Below are 18,620 nucleotides of genomic sequence, written 5' to 3'. Positions count from 1 at the left end.
TGCCCCACAGGGCTCCCAGGCTCACCATTGAGGGATTGAGTTGGGGAGGCTTGGGGCCCACTGCCTGCTACCACTGGTGCTCATCTGCTTGCAGAGGTGACTGGCCCCTCTCAGATGGACACCCGAAGGGGCCACCTGCTGCAGCCACCAGACCCAGGGCTTACCAGCAACTTCGGCCACCTGGATGACCCTGGCCTGGCAAGGTGGACCCCTGGCAAGGAGGAGTCCCTCAACTTATGTCACTGTGCAGAGCTCGGCTGCAGGACCCAGGGGGTCTGTTCCTTCCCCGCGATGCCGCAGGCCCCCATTGACGGCAGGATCGCTGGTGAGTGGGAGGCTGTTCCTCTGGCCATGGAAGGTGCACTGAGTCTGAGTCTCAGAGTCACGAGTGATGAGGACAGGGCTATTTTGACCTGGTGATGGGAGGTCTGTGGCTGGGGGATTGCAGGGTAGCGTTGACTGTCCTGTGTGCTAGCCACAATCTGGTCACAGAGGGCAGTGATACCTGGGATCACCAAGCCTCACCCTGTCTCCCACACAGGGACAATTTACCCAGTCATATTCTGACACTCACATTAGCATGGAGTGCCACACCTGCCTTTTAAAACTTTATCTGTTTTAAAATAATTGAGCATTCACTATGTGCCAGGCGTGGTTCCCAAGCCCTTATTTAATTCTACAATGGCCTTTTGAGTTTGGTACTATTATTAGCCCCATTTCACAGATATGGAAATTGAGGCACAGAAAGGTTAAGTAACTTCTCCAAGATCACACAGCACTGGTTGAGGTGTGATGTGAACCCAGGCAGTCTGGCTCCAGATCCTGAGCGCTAACCAAATGATACACTTCCACTCTGCATTCATTGTTAAAGGATTAACAGGCAGACAACCAGACAGACTGACAGATAAGCTGAAGGGTGTTTTTCTAGTCATAATAGTGACACTGCATTTATTCTTTTTTTTTTTCAACTTTTATTTTAGGTTCAGGGGGTGCATGTGCAGGTTTGTTACATGGGTAAATTGCGTGCCACTGAGGTTTGGTGTATGAATAATCCTGTCACCAAGGTACTCAGCATAGTACTTGATAGGAAGTTTTTCTTTTCTTTTCTTTTCTTTTTTTGAGACGGGAGTCTGGCTCTTTTGCCCAGGCTGGAGAGCTGTGGCATGATCTCAACTCACTGCATCCTCTGCCTCCCGGGTTCAAGCGATTCTCCTGCCTCAGCCTCCTGGGTAGCTGGGATTACAGGCGCCCACCACCACACCTGGCTAATTTTTGTTTTATTAGTAGAGACGGTTTCACCATGTTGGCCACAGGCTGGTCTTGAACTCCTGACCTCAGGTGATCCACCCACCTCGGCCTCCTTTGGTGCTGGGATTACAGGCGTGAACCACCGTGCCGGCCTGTGATAGGTAGTTTTTTCCACCCTGGCTCTTCCCCTGTAGTGGTCCCCAGTGCCCAGTGTCTATTGTTCCCATTGTTATGTCCACACCACATTTATTCTATGAAGCCACAGAGTGGGCAGAAGCCTGGCTTTTGGGTTGGAAATGACTAGAAGTCACTAAAAAACAATTGGCCCAACACATAGAAATGATGAATACTTGAGGTGATGGATGCCCTAAGTACCCTGACTTGATCGTTACACACTCTATGCATGCAACAAGATCTCACATGGACGCCAGAAACATGCATAAATATTATGTATCAATAACAAACACAATGATCCACAATTACTGGGTTTTTTTTTTTTTAAGAGACAGGGTCTCACTCTGTTGCCAGGCTGGAGTGCAGTGATGCCACCATAGCTCACTGCTGCCTCAAATTCCTGGGCTCAAGGAATCCTCCCACTTCAGCCTCTTGCAATTACTGAATTCTTCAATTATAATGCTTAACATTCTTCGTGCACTTACAGTATACCAGGCACTGTGCTGAGGGTTTTGTGGTCTATTATGTTACCTAATTCTCTCACCACCCCATACAAGGAAGCTGGCTCAGAGAAGGTTGTGTAACTTGCCTGCAATGGCCCAGCCGACAGGCCCAGGTCCTGGGATTTCAGATCACACAGTTGCTCCCGGATGCCCACTTGCCCTCCCAATGGCATGCCTGGTTTTCCTGAGCCTCACCATTAGGGAGCTTGAAGGGGTGGATGTTATAATTAATAGAAGTCCAGGGGGCTGAGTGAGTGGGCCAGGGGCAGAGAGGGACCTGGGGTCAGGGGCCCAGCCCCTCAGCCTGTGGGCCCAGCACCTGCCCTCACATGGCTCTGATGCTGGGTGGAGCCGGTCAGACTCCCTGCTCTACCTGCCACTTAGGAGCTTGGCAACTTTAGATACCTCTGCACCTCTGAGCCCATTTCCTCACCTCTTCCTGGGGATAAAGGTAACGACTTCCCAGACTCAGGAAGACTGCCTGAGACAATGCGTGAGGAGCCCCATTAGTGGCTGTTTCTGTTGATATCATCATTTTCACCTTCCTGCTGGTGCTCCTAGGGCTCTGGCCGGGAGGCTTCCAAGAGTGCCTTTCTAACACCTGTCCTCACAGCTCCAGTAAAGCTGCGCTGCCTGCACTCCCTGTGCTAAATTGCAGACTGCCGCCTGCTGTGGGATTACGTGTATCAGCTGCTCCTTGATACCCGATATGAGCCCTACATCAAGTGGGAAGACAAGGACGCCAAGATCTTCCGAGTTGTGGATCCAAATGGGCTCGCCAGACTCTGGGGAAATCACAAGGTGAGCCTCGGCCAGCAGAATGGTCTCAACATAACCAGAAGGGGACAGAGTTGGGGGTCAGAGTGGACCCCTAGCACTATGGGACAATCCTCAGCTGATGGGGCCTTCATCAGCAGCCCCAAAAGTGACAGGATAATTTTATTTGGGGAGCTATTGAGGGACAGGCAGTTACCTCTTATGGATGGGGAATGTCTCTGAAACTGAACAATTGTGTCTTCTCATTGCTTAATCTTACCTTTGCTTAGTATTTCAGGCTTTAGAAGCATGTTTACATGAACTGCACAGTTAGGCCAGATGAGGAAGCTGCTTTCCTGCGGGGAGCTGGACAGAAACCCAGGTCTCAGGCCCAACAGGAGCATCTGATGTCAGGGCTGGAAAGGCCTGGGGATGACTGAGGCCAGCATTCCCATGATGAGGAATGCCTATACCTAAATGGGTGTCTGTAAGATGATCTTAGGTGGTTTAATATCCTCATAATTATTTTTGAATTAGGATTACAAAATGTAACTACCATGACCATCTCATGATTTACAGCAGTGATATAAGGAATGTAGCCTTTTAAAATAAATAGGTTTCTTTAAGTAAAAAAAATCTTTTAAAGAAAACTATTAACGATAATGATAATCATCGATTTATAGCCTTTCCTAAGATGTAATGTGCCTGATTGCCAGGCACTGCCCTGAGGGCTCCACTTGTACTAATTCATTTAATCCTCATACCAAGCTCGTGAAGTAGGTGTTGTCGGATGTGGAGACTGAGGCTCAGTGAGGGCTAACAACTTGCCCCAAGTTTACCCATCCCCTGCTATGTAAGAGGCAGAACAGGGAGTTGAACCCAGGCCATGTGCTGCACTATATTATACTGCTCTTAGCAGTGCTGGTGGCTGGAAGGATGCAGATGACTAAAGTTCGGGAGGACTTATTGGTCTAATCCTCATATAGAACAGGGAGGAAAACAGGCCCAGAGAGCAGCAGTCCCATTTAATGAGCATATACTACATGCCATACACTGTGCTAACTGCTTTCATGGATTAGCTATTAATAATTTAATCCTTGACTTATGCGATGGGTGTTCTCCTTTTCATTATGTAGCTGGGGAAGCAGACTCAGAGAGGTCAAGAAACTTGTCCAAGGTGACACAGCTGACAAGCGGTGGAGCTGGGGCTTAAATTGATGCCACACCCCAGGCTCTTTGGCCCTACCTCACACTGCCTACCCCCGAGAGAGAAAGAAATGACTTGGCCAAAGTCACCCAGGGTGTGGCCTGGCAAGGCCATCCATGCCACCCCACCATACTGTCTCTCTGATTGCATTTCCCACAAATATATATATTTATTTGTTACTGTTGTGACATTTGCTGTTTAAAAGTAACATGCAGTTCACTCCCACACTATGTTCTCAGCCAAGTAGGCAGGAGAACCTTTCCATCATTTCCTTCCTTCCTTCCTTCCTTTCGCCTTCCTTCCTTCCTTCCTTTCTTTCTTTTTGTAATGGAGTCTCAATCTTTTGCCCAGGCTGTAGTCTAGTGACATGACCTCGGCTCACTGCAACCTCTGCCTCCTGGGTTCAAGGGATTCTCCTGCCTCAGCCTCCTGAGTAGTTGGGACTACAGGCACGCACCATCACGCCTGGCTAATTTTTGTATTTTTAGTAGAGACAGGGTTTCACCATGTTGGCCAGGCTGGTCTCAAACTCCTGACCTCAAGCGATCTGCCCACCTAGGCCTCCCAAAGTGTTGGGATTACAGGTGTGAGCCACCCTGCCCAGCCCCATCATTTCTTCCCCAACCTTCCCCTGCCTTTTTCCTTCCAAACTCAAGTGAGCACTCATAAACCCTCACAGATCCCTGGAATGAGAGGCTTAAGAAGCTGTCCAGTCCACCCTACTCCCTTCCAGGTGTGGAAGGAGCAGGACATGGGGAGTGGGGCTGATGTGGGGCTGCTTTGCTTTCCAGAACCGGGTGAACATGACCTACGAGAAGATGTCTCGTGCCCTGCGCCACTATTATAAGCTTAATATCATTAAGAAGGAACCGGGGCAGAAACTCCTGTTCAGGTGAGTGGCCTAGGGGATGTGGTGAAAGGGGAAGCAGAACTGGGGTTGGGTGGGCTGGAATCCCCCTGCAGCTGGGGCAGGAGCTGATTTGCAGTTGGGGCCTGAATTCTAGATTTCTAAAGACTCCGGGAAAGATGGTCCAGGACAAGCACAGCCACCTGGAGCCGCTGGAGAGCCAGGAGCAGGACAGAATAGAGTTCAAGGACAAGAGGCCAGAAATCTCTCCGTGAGGGGCAGGTGGACTCCAGGCACCCGGTACCGATGGGGCAGGGACCGAGTCTCCCATGAAGGCAGACTCCTCCTCCCAGCAGAGCAGCAGGATCCCCAGCCAGACTCTGTACCCACAGGATTACAGCCATTGCTTGGGAAGGCTGGGAGGCCTCCCATCCAGGACACTGGGGGCAGGAGTGTCATCTTTTGGGCAGGGCAATCCTGGGGCTAAATGAGGTACAGGGGAATGGACTCTCCCCTACTGCACCCCTGGGAGAGGAAGCCAGGCACCGATAGAGCACCCAGCCCCACCCCTGTAAATGGAATTTACCAGATGAAGGGAATGAAGTCCCTCACTGAGCCTCAGATTTCCTCACCTGTGAAATGGGCTGAGGCAGGAAATGGGAAAAAGTGTTAGTGCTTCCAGGCGGCACTGACAGCCTCAGTAACAATAAAAACAATGGTAGCTGATGTTTCTTTCTTTTATTTTTTTGAGACAGTCTTGCGCTGTCACCCAGGGTGGAGTGCAGTGGCACGATCTCGGCTCACTGCAACTTCCGCCTCCTGGGTTCAAGAGATTCTCGTGCCTCAGCCTCCGGAGTAGCTGGGATTACAGCTGCCCACCACCACACCCGGCTAATTTTTGTATTTTTGGTAGAGACACAGGGTTTCACCATGTTGGCCAGGCTGGTATCGAACTTGCGACCTCAGGTGATCCTCTTGCCTCAGTTTCCCAAAGTGCTTGGATTACAGGCGTGAGCCACTGCGTCCAGCCGATGTTTCTTAAGTGTTTGCTATGTGCCAGGCCTTGTGCTAAGGGCCTTGTGGATATCTTATCTCATTTAATTCACTCGGCATTCAGGCGTGAAGATGAGGACACTGAGGGAGAGGCTTGTGGAGCTGGCCCGCCTCTCCACAACCCAGGGCTTCGACCTGTTTTCTTTCAGCACCTCTGACTGTATGTGGATGCTTCTTAGCCAGGCCCCGGCCCCACCTCTCTGCTCTTGGCATCTTCACTGAATAGTCCATTTCACTTGGCCCAGCCCCCTCATCCTCAGTTTTCAGTGACTACGACCCAGTGAAGACTGGCCCCCGTCCCCACACTTGTGGCTTCCTATGCTCCTGTCCCTGTATCTGCTGTGGGACTTTGGGCAAGGTGTTCCGCCTCTCTGGGGCCTCAGGTTTCTCGTCTGCAAAATGGGGCTCCTTCTCCTGACCTGACCTCTGGGGTTGTCGGAAAGCTTCCATAAGGCAATACTTGTGAAATGCTTAATGTTTGCCTGCTCTGTGGGGCGTGCTTCACCTGTGTTAGCTGAGAAGACTTTGCAGACCAGAAGCTGCTCTGAAGCATGAAAACACCTCGGTCCAATGGGTCAGCTTCTCCCTCTGTGCCCTAGCCCCAAGTACTGATTGGGGCCTCCTGAGGGCCAGAGCCTCTGCCCTTGCAAGCCGTCAGGTAAAGCTCAGGTAGAAGGAGAAGGGAGTATTTTCATTTAACCAAGAATAGAACTCCTCGGATTCATATCTTCTTTCTCAGAAGGAGGAAACTACCTCAGCCTCTTGCCCCCAGCCGGTCAGGAAATCCCCGTCTCTGCTGGCGCCTGCACTGGCCTTGAGTCACTGCAGAGAAGTCCTTGATAAGGACTCTTGGACTTTGGGGCTCAAAGCTGTGATAGCCCATGAGCAGGGAAACTCCAGGCTTAGTCCTATCTGGGACCCTCGATGGTACTCACCGGCAGGGGGGCAGGCAGGTGGCTTTGGAAAAAGGATCGATGGGAAAATGCTTTGCCCCTTTCACTTTCCCTCTGAGACTGTTCCAGCTCCTTGACTTTGCTCTGCGATGAGCCCATGCCCCATGGCCTCTCTTATTGAGAGATGACAGCGTGCTGGCAGTCCTCACAGCCCTCGCTCGCTCTCGGCACCTCCTCTGCCTGGGCTCCCACTTTGGCGGCACTTGAGGAGCCCTTCATCCCACCGCTGCACTGTGGGAGCCCCTTTCTGGGCTGGCCAAGGCCAGAGCCGGCTCCCTCAGCTTGAAGGGAGGTGTGGAGGGAGAGGCACGAGCGGGAACTGGGGCTGTGCGCGGCGCTTGCGGGCCAGCTGAACTTTCGGGTGAGCGTGGGCTTGGCGGGTCCCGCACTCGGAGCAGCCGGCCGGCCCTGCCAGCCCCGGGCAATGAGGGACTTAGCACCCGGGCCAGCGGCTGCGGAGGGTGTACTGGGTCCCCCAGCAGTGCCAGCCCACCGGCGCTGCGCTCGATTTCTCACCGGGCCTTAGCTGCCTTCCTGCGGGGCAGGGCTGGGGACCTGCAGCCTGCCATGCCTGAGCCTCCCACCCGCTCCATGGGCTCCTGTGCGGCCTGAGCCTCCCCGACGAGCGCCACCCCCTGCTCCACAGCGCCCAGTCCCATCCACCACCCAAGGGCTGAGGAGTGCGGGCTCACGGCGCCGGACTGGCAGGCAGCTCCACCTGCAGCCCCAGTGCAGGATCCACTGGGTGAAGCCAGCTGGGCTCCTGAGTCTGGTGGGGAGGTGGAAAACCTTTATGTCTAGTTCAGGGATTGTAAATACACCAATCGGCACTCTGTATCTAGCTCAAGGTTTGTAAATACACCAATCAGCACCCTGTGTCTAGCTCAGGGTTTGTGAATGCACCAATCCACACTCTGTATCTAGCTGCTCTGGTGGGGCCTTGGAGAACCTTTATGTCTAGCTCAGGGATTGTAAATACACCAATCGGCACTCTGTATCTACCTCAAGGTTTGTAAATACACCAATCAGCACCCTGTGTCTAGCTCAGGGTTTGTGAATGCACCAATCGACACTCTGTATCTAGCTACTCTGGTGGGGCCTTGGAGAACCTTTGTGTCCACACTGTATCTAGCTAATCTGGTGGGGAGGTGGAGAACCTTTGTGTCTAGCTCAGGGATTGTAAACGCACCAATCAGCACCCTGTCAAAACAGACCACTGGGCTCTACCAATCAGCAGGATGTGGGTGGGGCCAGATAAGAGAATAAAAGCAGGCTGCCCCAGCTAGCAGTGGCAACCCGTTCTGGTCCCCTTTGACACCGTGGGAGCTTTGTTCTTTTGCTCTTTGGGTCCACGCTGCTTTTATTAGCTGTAACGCTTAGTGCGAAGATCTGCAGCTTCACTCCTGAAGCCAGCGAGCCCACGACCCCACCGGGAGGAATGAATGACTCCAGATGTGCTGCTTTAAGAGCTGTAACACTCACCGTGAAGGTCTGCAGCTTCACTCCTGGAGCCAGCGAGCCCATGAGCCCACGGGGAGGAACGAACGACTCCAGACGCGGTGCCTTAAGGGCTGTAACACTCACCGCGAAGGTCTGCAGCTTCACTCCTGAGCCAGCGAGACCACGAACCCACCAGAAGGAAGAAACTCTGAACACGTCGGAACATCAGAAAGAACAAACTCCAGATGCGCCACCTGAAGAGCTGTAAGACTCACCGCGAGGGTCCGCGGCTTCATTCTTGAAGTCAGTGAGACCAAGAACCCACCAGTTCTGGACACATTATCACCTCCTCACCCCAGAGCTGCATACCTGGCTTAGGAGGGACTGTCGAAATGAATTTATCCAGGCCCTCATTTTACAGAGAAGGGAACTGCCGCCAGAGCGAAGTGACTTGCGCAAGATCACATGGCCCAGCCCAGCTTCTTCGCTCCTGAAGCCACCTCATTTCCTCTTCTCAGCATTGTGGTTGGGTCCAAGATGAAGCAGGAGGATGGATTCCTAGATCACTTCTTCCAGTTATAAGTGGTGTTTGCCTGCTGGTGGGTTGATGGATGTCAACAGCTACATTTCCCAGCGATGAGGCCTTAACTCAGGCAATGAATCTCACCCAGCACTGAGACCATCATGGCCGGGTTGGGCTACTAGGAGAGCAGGCATGAATCACTGCCAGAGATCCCGACTCCGGAACTCTGCACTCAGCCCTGAGGCCATGCCACCTTTTCTCCATCTCCCCAGGGAGATCAGGCCGTGGTCTGGGGATGGACCCCTGGGTGCCTGGAGTAAGGGGGTTCATTTAGGCCTGCCTTCTACAAACATCAATTGAGTACCTGCTCTGTACCGGGCACCAGGTGAGGCATTGAGTTTATATCCATTTTTCATACAATTAAAGTCCTGAAAAGTGGCAGGTCATTGAAAATTTCATGTGTCAAAGTGAACTTCTCACAAATTTTTTTTTTGAGGTGTTTTGCTGTCACTCAGGCTGGAGTGCAGTGTTGTGATCTCAGCTCACTGCAACCTCTGCTTCCTGGGTTCAAGTGATTCTCCTGCCTCAGCCTCCCGAGTAGCTGGGACTACAGGCACCCGCCACCACACCAGCTAATTTTTTTTTTTTTGAGACAGAGTCTCGCTCTTTCACACAGGCCGGACTGCAGTGGCGCGATCTCGGCTCGCTGCAAGCTCTGCCTCCCGGGTTCACGCCATTCTCCTGCCTCAGCCCCCTCCCCAAGTAGCTGGGACTACAGGTGCCCGCCACCGCGCCTGGCTAATTTTTTGTATTTTTAGTAGAGACAAGGTTTCACCATGTTAGCCAGGATGGTCTCGATCTCCTGACCTCGTGATCCGCCTGCCTCAGTCTCCCAAAGTGCTGGGATTACAGGTGTGAGCCACCGCGCCCGGCCACACCAGCTAACTTTTGTATTTTTAGTAGAGACAGGGTTTCACTGTGTTGGTCAGGCTGGTCTCGACCTCAGGTGATCCACCTGCCTTGGCCTCCCAAAGTGTTGGGGTTACAGGTGTGAGCCACCGCACCCAGCCAACAAAGAATTTTAAAAAGCAGGAGATACATTCTCATGGTTTGAAAAAGTGGCCAGGCATGATTACATTACAATTAAAGAACTGACAATAGATAAAGAATTTATGAAAAATGAGTATAATAAAAAGTTCATTAATGAAACAAATAATACAAGTCACTGTCTTGGTCCAGTTGAACCATTTACAGCATTAACCCATGAGCATGAGCTCTGGTCTTCCTCTTCTCTGTTAGGTGGATTCTTTCTTAGAAAGGCTTTTTCCTTCATAGGAAAGTTCCAGATCTAGCATTTGATTTAATCCTGGTGGCTCTGCTGGGTCTTGGGCTCTTAACTGCAGGAAGCCTGGGCTGATGCTGGGGACCCATCCTCTTTGTCACAGAGGATCCTAGGGCCACAGTCTTCCTTGGCTTCCTCCTCTGGTCCCACGGTGTTAGTGATCCACATTTTCTACTCAAATGTTCTCACAAAAGGTTTGTAGAGACACACAGAAAACACAGACCTTTACAGAGCAAAGGCCTGTACCGCAGAAATGTCCGTATCTGGTGGTAAATGCGAGGGCAGTGTGAGCTCAGAGGGAGCCTGTTGAATGCCGGTGTCAGGGCCCTGCGCTGCTGGCGAGCTCCCTCAGTGACACCTCGGCCCTCAAAGGACCTCGGTGGGAACTAAGCCACCAATGGGACAGCCCCAGAACTTGAGTGAGGAGTTTAAAGCAGGTTGTTCTGAAACCAGTATATGCAACTCAGAAATATTTTAATCGTGATCTTGATTTTTTTAAAGTCCCGAATCCTTTTGAGTTAATTGCTCATATACTGGGGATGGGGAGTGATGGTGAGTAAACAAAGGGGAATAGGGCCCTGGCTTGGAAAGTTTGCACAGAAGTAGGGGAAACAGATGTAGCTGATGAGCAAACCATTGCAGTCCCCAGGGAGAGATGACGTGAGAAGTGTGCCTATTGGGGACAGTACTGGACAAAGTGGTGCTAGTGAATTCGGCTTGAGAGGCACCAGGGAGAGTTTCCCTCCGGAGAATCACAGGCTTCTGCTCTCTTTTTCCAACTTCCCTTTTGCAGGGCTGAGGTCTGGAAGCACAGTGGGGCTGTGGGCCTTCTGATCCTTGAGGGGGTCAGGGAGACTGCACGGGAAATGGGATTCTGGGCTGTGGGCTTCTCTCCACGGAAAGGCCTGCAGTTTAAAACCATGTCCACTAGGTGGTGCAAAAGCCTCTTTTTGTGTTAGTGTGGGGCCGGGCGGTGGCTGACTGAATGTTCTATGGACAGCAAGCCTGCCTTCTCTCACGGGGAGATGTGTACTCTCCAGCTCAGGCATGCTCTGTAAGTAGACATCCAGGCCCTGCTTGAACACCTCCAGTGACGGGGAACTCACACCTCCAGGGGGCAAAGTAAGTAGCAGGGGTGGGGGTGGAATTGAGGGGCACCATAAGCCAGCTGTCCGTTGATAGCATCAGCCTCCTCTCCTAACCCACAGGCCACTGGTTTCTGCAATTCCTATTTTCCCATTCTCTTTATTGGGAATAACTTCTTATCTCCTCTTCTTATGATCACTTTATCCTTGAGTAGTTTGTCAGCAGGGGCCTAGATGAGGCCTCTTACAGATCTGGGACATCTGCTAGGGGCATGTCAGAGCCTCTCTACCCTCACCCTACCCATGTAGACCTGATTAGGAATCAAAAAGACTGGCCGGGTGCAGTGGCTCATGCCTGTAATCCCAGCACTTTGGGAGGCCGAGGCGGGCGGATTACGAGGTCAAGAAATCGAGACCATCCTGGCCAACATGGTGAAACTCCGTCTCTACTAAAAATAAAAAAATTAGCTGGGCATGGTGGCACATGCCTGTAGTCCCAGCTACTTGGGAGGCTGAGGCAGGAGAATCACTTGAACCCGGGAGGTGGAGGCAGTGAGCCGAGATCGCGCCACTCACTCCAGCCTGGCATCAGAGTGAGACTCGGTCTCAAAAGAAAAAAAAAAAGGACTGAGGCTTCCTTAGTTTTCTACTGGCTTTAGTTACACCACCCTTCTAGGACTCACTTTCTACTTTTGTAAAATGAAAGACAACATCCTTTGCCCTGCTTAGCACATGGAGTTGAGAAATTTCAAATGAAATAATGCATTCATTTATTTAACATTCATTGAGCACCTACTGTAGGTTAAGCACTGTCTAGAAACAGGAATATTGTGGTGACCAGAACAGATAAATAAACAAATCAATACAGAATAAAATGGCAGGTGGTGATATGTACTATGAAGGAAAATAAAATAGAATCAAGTGAGAGGGGCCAAATTTAAATTGAGCTGTCAGAGATGTAAAAAACATGTGTAAGCAGGAACAAATCATCTTTACCTATGTCACTTTCTCTCCTGTAGTAGACTGTCCCCTTTCTTTCTTTTTTCTTTTTTTCTTTTTTCTTTTTTTTTTTGAGACTGAGTTTCGCTCTTGTTACCCAGGCTGGAGAGCAATGGTGCAATCTTGGCTCACCGCAACCTCCGCCTCCTAGGTTCAAGTGGTCCTCCTGCCTCAGCCTCCTGAGTAGCTGGGATCACAGGCGTGCACCACCACACCTGGCTAATTTTTGTATTTTTAGTAGAGACAGGGTTTCTCCATGTTGGTCAGGCTGGTCTTGAACTCTCGACCTCAGGTGATTTGCCCACCTTGGCCTCCCAAAGTGCTGGGATTATAGGTGTGAGCCACTTCGCCCAGCCTGTCCATCCCCTTTCTGTTTAATCTGCAGGTCACACCATGAAAGATGGACACTGTTGTTAGTTTGTTATGTGCAACCCAATGCAATCTTAATGGATATGAATAATGTAGACAGGCTGGGTGGAGAAGACCATCTTGGCCTAGAGCTGCCCCTCTCCCATCCTCTTCCTTTGGGGGAGCCATCAGCTAAGACCGAGATCACAAAGTCTCCTGAATAGACCTCAGTTCTCTAGATCTGGCCCATCTAAACATCCTAACTCAAGGAAGCACGGTGTATTGTTGAAAGTGCTCTGGCTGGAAAGCCCCAGAGTTCTAAATATGGCTCTTAAAATTCCAGCAATTCTGAGCAGGAAGAGCTTTCCCCTCAGTCACATGATCATATGCTCCAGCCAGTGACAAGCTCAGGTTCTCGACCTGTGGTGTGGGGTGGGGAGTACATATCAGATTCTCAGGGGACAGCTGATTGTGGGTGGCTGAACGTGGCGTGCAAATCTCTAGAGAGCTTCTAAAGCACCAACAAAGGCACTTTCTTCTCCACCACCCCCACAAGGGTCAGTGAGCTGACCCAGTGTTAGGGTTTGGGGGATGGGGAAACTGAACATCAGGGGGACCTTGAGATTCTGGGATTCTGGGCTTTCAGCCAGGGACCCTTCCAACCTTAGGAACAGAATATGCCAACTCTAGCCCTCTGCAAACTCTAAAGTGATTTGCAATAAGAACATTATTTTTTCCTGACTGACCAGTGAGTAATTTACCAAGCTGGGTCTTGATTGGCCACCAAAAGAAAAAAGGGCCTTTGACAAAGCAGGAGACCTGAACTAGAGCCAGCAGCAGAAGGCCCCCAGTGAAATGACAGAAACAAAAGCTTGGCAGCTCAACCACATCTTTATTTTGAGCAAGATGAAGTGCCTTTCTGACAATGCAAATTAATTCACCCAGCTTTTAAGTGAGGAAGACATGTCCAGATCAAAGTCCAGCTTCCCTTCTAAGGAGGCCAGCCCTACGTCATCTGCAGCTACTGTATCAGTTAGAGTCATGCTGGCCATAGCATCTCAACTGAAATCTCAGTGGCTTGATGTGATAGACATTCATTTTCTTGGCCACATAAAGCTTGGTTCATGGGTGGGGAGGGATCTTCCCCATGAAGTCATCTGGGGACCCAGGCTGATGGAGGTTGTACTGTCTCCTTCATGTGGTTTCTGTATGGGGGATTGACACCCAGCCCGCAGGTAGGGAGGAGAAAGCGTGAAGGATTGGGGAGGTGTTTTTTTGTTTGTTTTTGTTTTTGTTTTTGAGACAGAATCTCACTCTGTCACCTGGGCTGGAGTGCAGTGGTACAATTTTGGCTCACTGCAACCTCCACCTACCAGGTTCAAGTGATTCTCATGCCTCAGCCTCCCGAGTAGCTGGGATTACAGGTGTGTGCCACCAAACTTGGCTAATTTTTTATATTTTTAGTAGAGATAGGGTTTTTCCATGTTGGCCAGGCTGGTCTCGAACTTCTGACCTCAGGTGATCTGCCTGCCTTGACCTCCCAAAGTGCTGGGATTACAGGCATGAGCCAGCGCACGTGGCCGGGGAGGTGTTCTTATGGGAGGCGCCCATCATTTCTGCCCATATTTGTTGTCAGAACTCAGGCTTGTGATATTCCACCTATATTCCTTGCTCCTTTTGAGTGACTTTTCCTCTTATTTACACCATTCTCCACCCCTCTTCATCCTGCTCTGTGGCCAGGAGACTGTCCTGTATGGATTGCCCCAGTGGGCTTCCTGTCCTCTGGCTCCTGGTTGGTTTTAGTCAAGAAACTCTCTGGTCGGAGATTGCCAAGGTATTTTATTTCTCTAGTCCCTCCCTGCTGGCTCCCACAGGTTGGCTGTGTTCTCCTACTTAAGGCTGCAGCTTCTGTGCGCTGCCCTCTCTGTGCAGCCATATCCTTTCCAAGCTGTGTCACTGCTCCTTCCCCTGGACCTTTTAGGCTTTCAGTTGAAATCTGTTCAACTGACATTCAGCAGCCCTCTCAGTGGCAAATGGTATCTTGATTTTCCTGAGATACCTGGCTCCCTACATGTAGATTAAAACATAGGTTTCTCCTTGTGGATCCAAAAAAAAGAGATAATTTGTAATGCACTGTCTGCCATATATCTTCTCCCAACTTCCCATCAAAACTCCATGCTGGCTTCCAATCCTTTACAGCTGCTTCTTTGCGTTATGGCATAGAACTTTGATGAATTAACCTGTGATGATGTTTTCACGGGTGGTGATGGGGTCCCGCAAATTTCCCTCCATAGTGTATCTCCACTTGATACACACATCTTCACAGGACAATGCCTTAATCCTTAGGAGAGACTGGCTGTGAAGTAATGCAGGTGTCAGCCCAGCATTCCATCTACCATCCTCCTGGTAATAACTTTGTCTCTGGGAGTAACTCTTTTCCTACTCCATCACAGTGTCCTGCCCCCAGCAGTTGGGGAGGGCCCTGTAGCCCAGGCTGGGCCATTAAGAGAAGCCCATTTCCGTGGCCACAGCAACTGGTCCAGATGGTGCATGATCCAGGATAGGCCAATCAGGGTCCTTCCCTGGGATTTCTCTTTCTGTGTCTGGCTGGGAAGTTACCCCAAGCTAGTGGCAGCTGTGTCTTCTGCCATGAGGGGACACCAGAGGGGCAGAAAGGTGAGGTGAAGTCCCTGGAGGGTCTGGTCTCCACTTCTAATCTTGGGGCTCTCGGAGCTGTCATGATCCCTGCAGATCTTTCTTCAATTCTTTTTAAAAAATTGATATATAATAGTTGTATATATGTTTGGGATACGTGTGTTTGTTTGTGTTTTTTTTTGTTTTTTTTTTTTTTTTGAGACAGGGTCTCACTCTTTTACCCAGGCTGGAGTGCAATGGTGCCATCATTGCTCATCATTGTTTCACTGTGTTGCCTAGGCTGGTCTCAAAACTCCTGAGCTCAATGCAATCCACCTGCCTTGGCTTCCCAAAGAGAAGGGATTACAGGCGTGAGCCACTGTGCCCAGCCACATGTGAAATTTTGATAGCTGTAATTGCTTCAATTCTTTGACAATCCCAATAGCTTTCGAATACATCTCCTTTTCACTTATGTTGGTTTGAGTTGTGGTTTCTGTCTTGCACAATTATGAAAGGTCTATTTCTTAAGGAGGTACAATTTTTAGTCAAGGGATTGTTTGATACTCTTTAAGTTCACTGCCAGGCCTACCACTTATCTCTGTCGTAGGAGGAGAGTTCCTGTAATGAGAGGTTTTTAAGACGTCCTTTGTTCTGGGATGAATCAGAGGGAATGACTGCCTTGGAGCTCAGGATATTAAACTGAGTGGTGTCAAATATTCCCAGGATCAATCGACAATGCCATGTGTACCATCTCCTCCTACAGGGATTAAAGGCCTGATATTTAGATATGATTCTAGTTTTCTCTCAAATCCATACTTTAAGAGCTTATGGGCTGGGTGCGGTGGCTCACACCTGTAATCCCAGCACTTTGGGAAGCCAAGGTGGGCAGATAAGTTGAGGCCAGGAGTTCGAGACCAGCCTGGCCAACATGGTGAAACCCTGTCTCTACCAAAAAATACAAAAGTTAGCCAGGCGCAATGGCGCATGCCTGTAATCCCAGATACTTGGGAGGCTGAGGCAGGAGAATCACTTGAACCCGAGAGGCAGAGGTTGGAGTGAGGCGGAGAGTTGGAGGTTGGAGTAAGATCATGCCACTGCACTCCAGCCTGGATGACAGAGTGAGACTCTGTCTCAAAAAAAAAAAAAAGTCTATGAACATCAGTGTTATATACCACACTAATAAAATGAAAGACAAAACCCACATAATCATCTCAATAGATAGGGAAAAAGCATTTGACAAAATCCAAGTGTCTTATCATAAAAATATTCAACAAACCAAGACTAGAAGAGAACTTCCTCAAGCTGATCAAGACCATCTGTGAAAACCCCACAGCTACCATCCTACTTAATGGTGAACGACTAGATGCTTTTCTCCTAATATTGCAGGGTTCTAGTCAGAGCAGTGAGGCAAGAAAAAGAAATAAAAAGCATCTAGGTTGGAAAGGAAGAAGTAAAACTATCTCTGTTCATAGATAACATGATACTGTGTATAAAAATCCTAAGGAATAAAAAAACTATGAGAACTAATTAATGAGTTCAGTAAGTTTGCAGAATACAAGACTAACCTACAAAAGTCAATTGTATTTCTATCTATGACAATGAACAACCTGAAAATGAAATTCAAAATAATTCTATTTCCAATACCATCAAAAGAATAAAACACAAATAAACTTAAAGCACAAGACATATACTCTGAAAACTACAAAGCATTGTTGAAAGAAATTAAAGCAAATCTAAATAAATGGACAGATATAACATGTTCCTGGATTGTTAAGATGGCAATACTCCCTAAATTGGTCTACATATTCAATGCAATCCCTATCAAAATTCCAACTGCTTTTTTTTTTTATTGCAGAAATGGACTTCAGCTGATCTTCATATTCATATGGAGTTTCCAGTGACCCCAAATAGCCAAAACAGTCTTGGAAAGAAAAACAAAGTTGGAGGACCCACACTTCCTGATTTTGAAACTTGCTACAAAGCTATAGTACTCAACAAAGATTGGTAATGGCATAAGGATATAGATTAAGAACAGTTTTTTCAACAAATAGTGTTGGGACAATGGGTGTCCACATGCAAAAGAATAAAGTTGTCCCCTTACCTTACACCATCTCCAAAAATTAACTCAAAATATGTCAAAGACATAAACGTAAGAGCTAAAACTGTAAAACTCCTAGAATAAAACATAGGAGTAAATCTTCATGACCTTGGATTAGGCCATTGTGTCTTAAATATAACACCAAAAGAATAAGTAATAAAAAAATAGATAAATTGAACTCCATCAAAATTAAAAGCCTTTGTGCTTCATAGGACACCATCAAGAAAGTAAAAAAAAAAAAAAAAACCCATAGGATGGGAGAAAATATCTCCAAATCATATATCTGATAAAAGAATTGTATCCAGGATTGATAAAGAATTCCTACAACTCAATAATAAAAAGACAAAAAACCCCAAATTGGGCAAAGGACATGAATAGAGATTTTTCCTAAGAAGATACACAAATAACAAATAAGCACATGAAGAAATGCTAACATCATTGTATTAGTCCGTTTTCACACTGCTGATGAAGACATACCCGAGACTGGTAATTTATAAAGAAAAGAGGTTTAATTGACTCACAGTTCCACATGGCTGGGGAGGCCTCACAATCATGGCAGAAGACAAGGAGGAGCAAGTCACATCCTACATCGTGGCAGGGGGGAGAGAGCTTGTGCAGGGAAACTCCTCTTTATAAAATTTTATGGGGTCTCATGAGACTTATTCACAATCATGAGAACAGCACGGGAGAGACTGATTCAATTACCATGATTCAATTACCTCCCACTGGGTCCCTCCCACAACATGTGGGAATTGTGGGAGCTACAATTCAAGATGAGAATTGGTGGGGGTTGGGGGTGACACAGCCAAACCACAACAATCATTAATCATTAGGGAAATGAAGAACAAACTACCATGAGATACTACTTCTCGCTCACTAGGATTGTTAGGGAAACAGAAGCATAGGAGAGCCATGGTGACATCATTTTAAAATCAACTCCATCTTAAAACTATCAAGGCACGTTCCTTGCCAGTCATGACTCATGGTCCTAAGATGTTTACAGTTGAGGAAACACCTTAAAAATACCTGCAAGAACACACTCCTACAATAACAAAAAGTCCAGATGTCCCACTATCCTTAACAAGATATGCTTTTAAGATGACTATAGTCATGCTTTGATGTACTTATGTACTAAAATGCCAAAGATACTTTCTTTAAATCAACAGAATACTAAATTTTATGCTGTCAGCCCACCCACGCAGACATAATTTATCTTAGCTTTTACATAGATGAGACTCCTATATGAGAAAAGTTTAAGACAGAGATGGCGTGTTCCTCCTCTTGCTTTCTGAGGATGCCCTATTCTGTGACTGAGTAGCTTTCAATAAACTATCCTCTCTCTGCACTTTGTAACTTACCTTGAATCCCTTCCTGTGCGAGATCCAACAATCCTCTCTTGGAGTCTGGATT

General features: G+C 48.6%; 1 protein-coding gene across 9 annotated transcripts in view, besides 2 other annotated features; it reads left to right on the top strand.

Annotated features, from left to right (window-relative positions):
• Positions 1-17,567, top strand: part of ETV7 (ETS variant transcription factor 7) — a 33,582-nt gene extending 16,015 nt beyond the window's left edge. For 6 of the 9 annotated variants that reach the window (NM_001207041.2, NM_001207040.2, NM_001207036.2 and 3 more), the window contains 4 exons: positions 95-325; positions 2,584-2,726; positions 4,680-4,780; positions 4,893-5,461. In NM_001207041.2, coding sequence (NP_001193970.1) covers positions 115-325; positions 2,584-2,726; positions 4,680-4,780; positions 4,893-5,010 — 573 coding nt within the window. In that variant the 5' untranslated portion in view covers positions 95-114 and the 3' untranslated portion in view covers positions 5,011-5,461. Of the gene's footprint in view, positions 1-94; positions 326-2,583; positions 2,727-4,679; positions 4,781-4,892; positions 5,462-16,967 lie in introns of those variants that run through there. The other 3 variants (NM_001207039.2, NM_001207035.2, NM_001207038.2) reach the window with 2 other exon arrangements.
• Positions 6,241-6,290: an enhancer, noted in NCBI's record as "active region_24425". NCBI's record gives its function as "activates an Ori minimal core promoter by ATAC-STARR-seq in GM12878 lymphoblastoid cells {active_cell/tissue: GM12878}" and the evidence as "EXISTENCE:reporter gene assay evidence [ECO:0000049][PMID:35858748]".
• Positions 10,412-10,571: an enhancer, noted in NCBI's record as "active region_24424". NCBI's record gives its function as "activates an Ori minimal core promoter by ATAC-STARR-seq in GM12878 lymphoblastoid cells {active_cell/tissue: GM12878}" and the evidence as "EXISTENCE:reporter gene assay evidence [ECO:0000049][PMID:35858748]".

Source organism: Homo sapiens, chromosome 6, assembly GCF_000001405.40.
Source record: "Homo sapiens chromosome 6, GRCh38.p14 Primary Assembly".
NCBI lineage: Eukaryota > Metazoa > Chordata > Mammalia > Primates > Hominidae > Homo > Homo sapiens.
The sequence above is the reverse complement of the archived record's forward strand: the minus strand, read 5'-3'. Positions and strand labels throughout refer to the sequence as shown.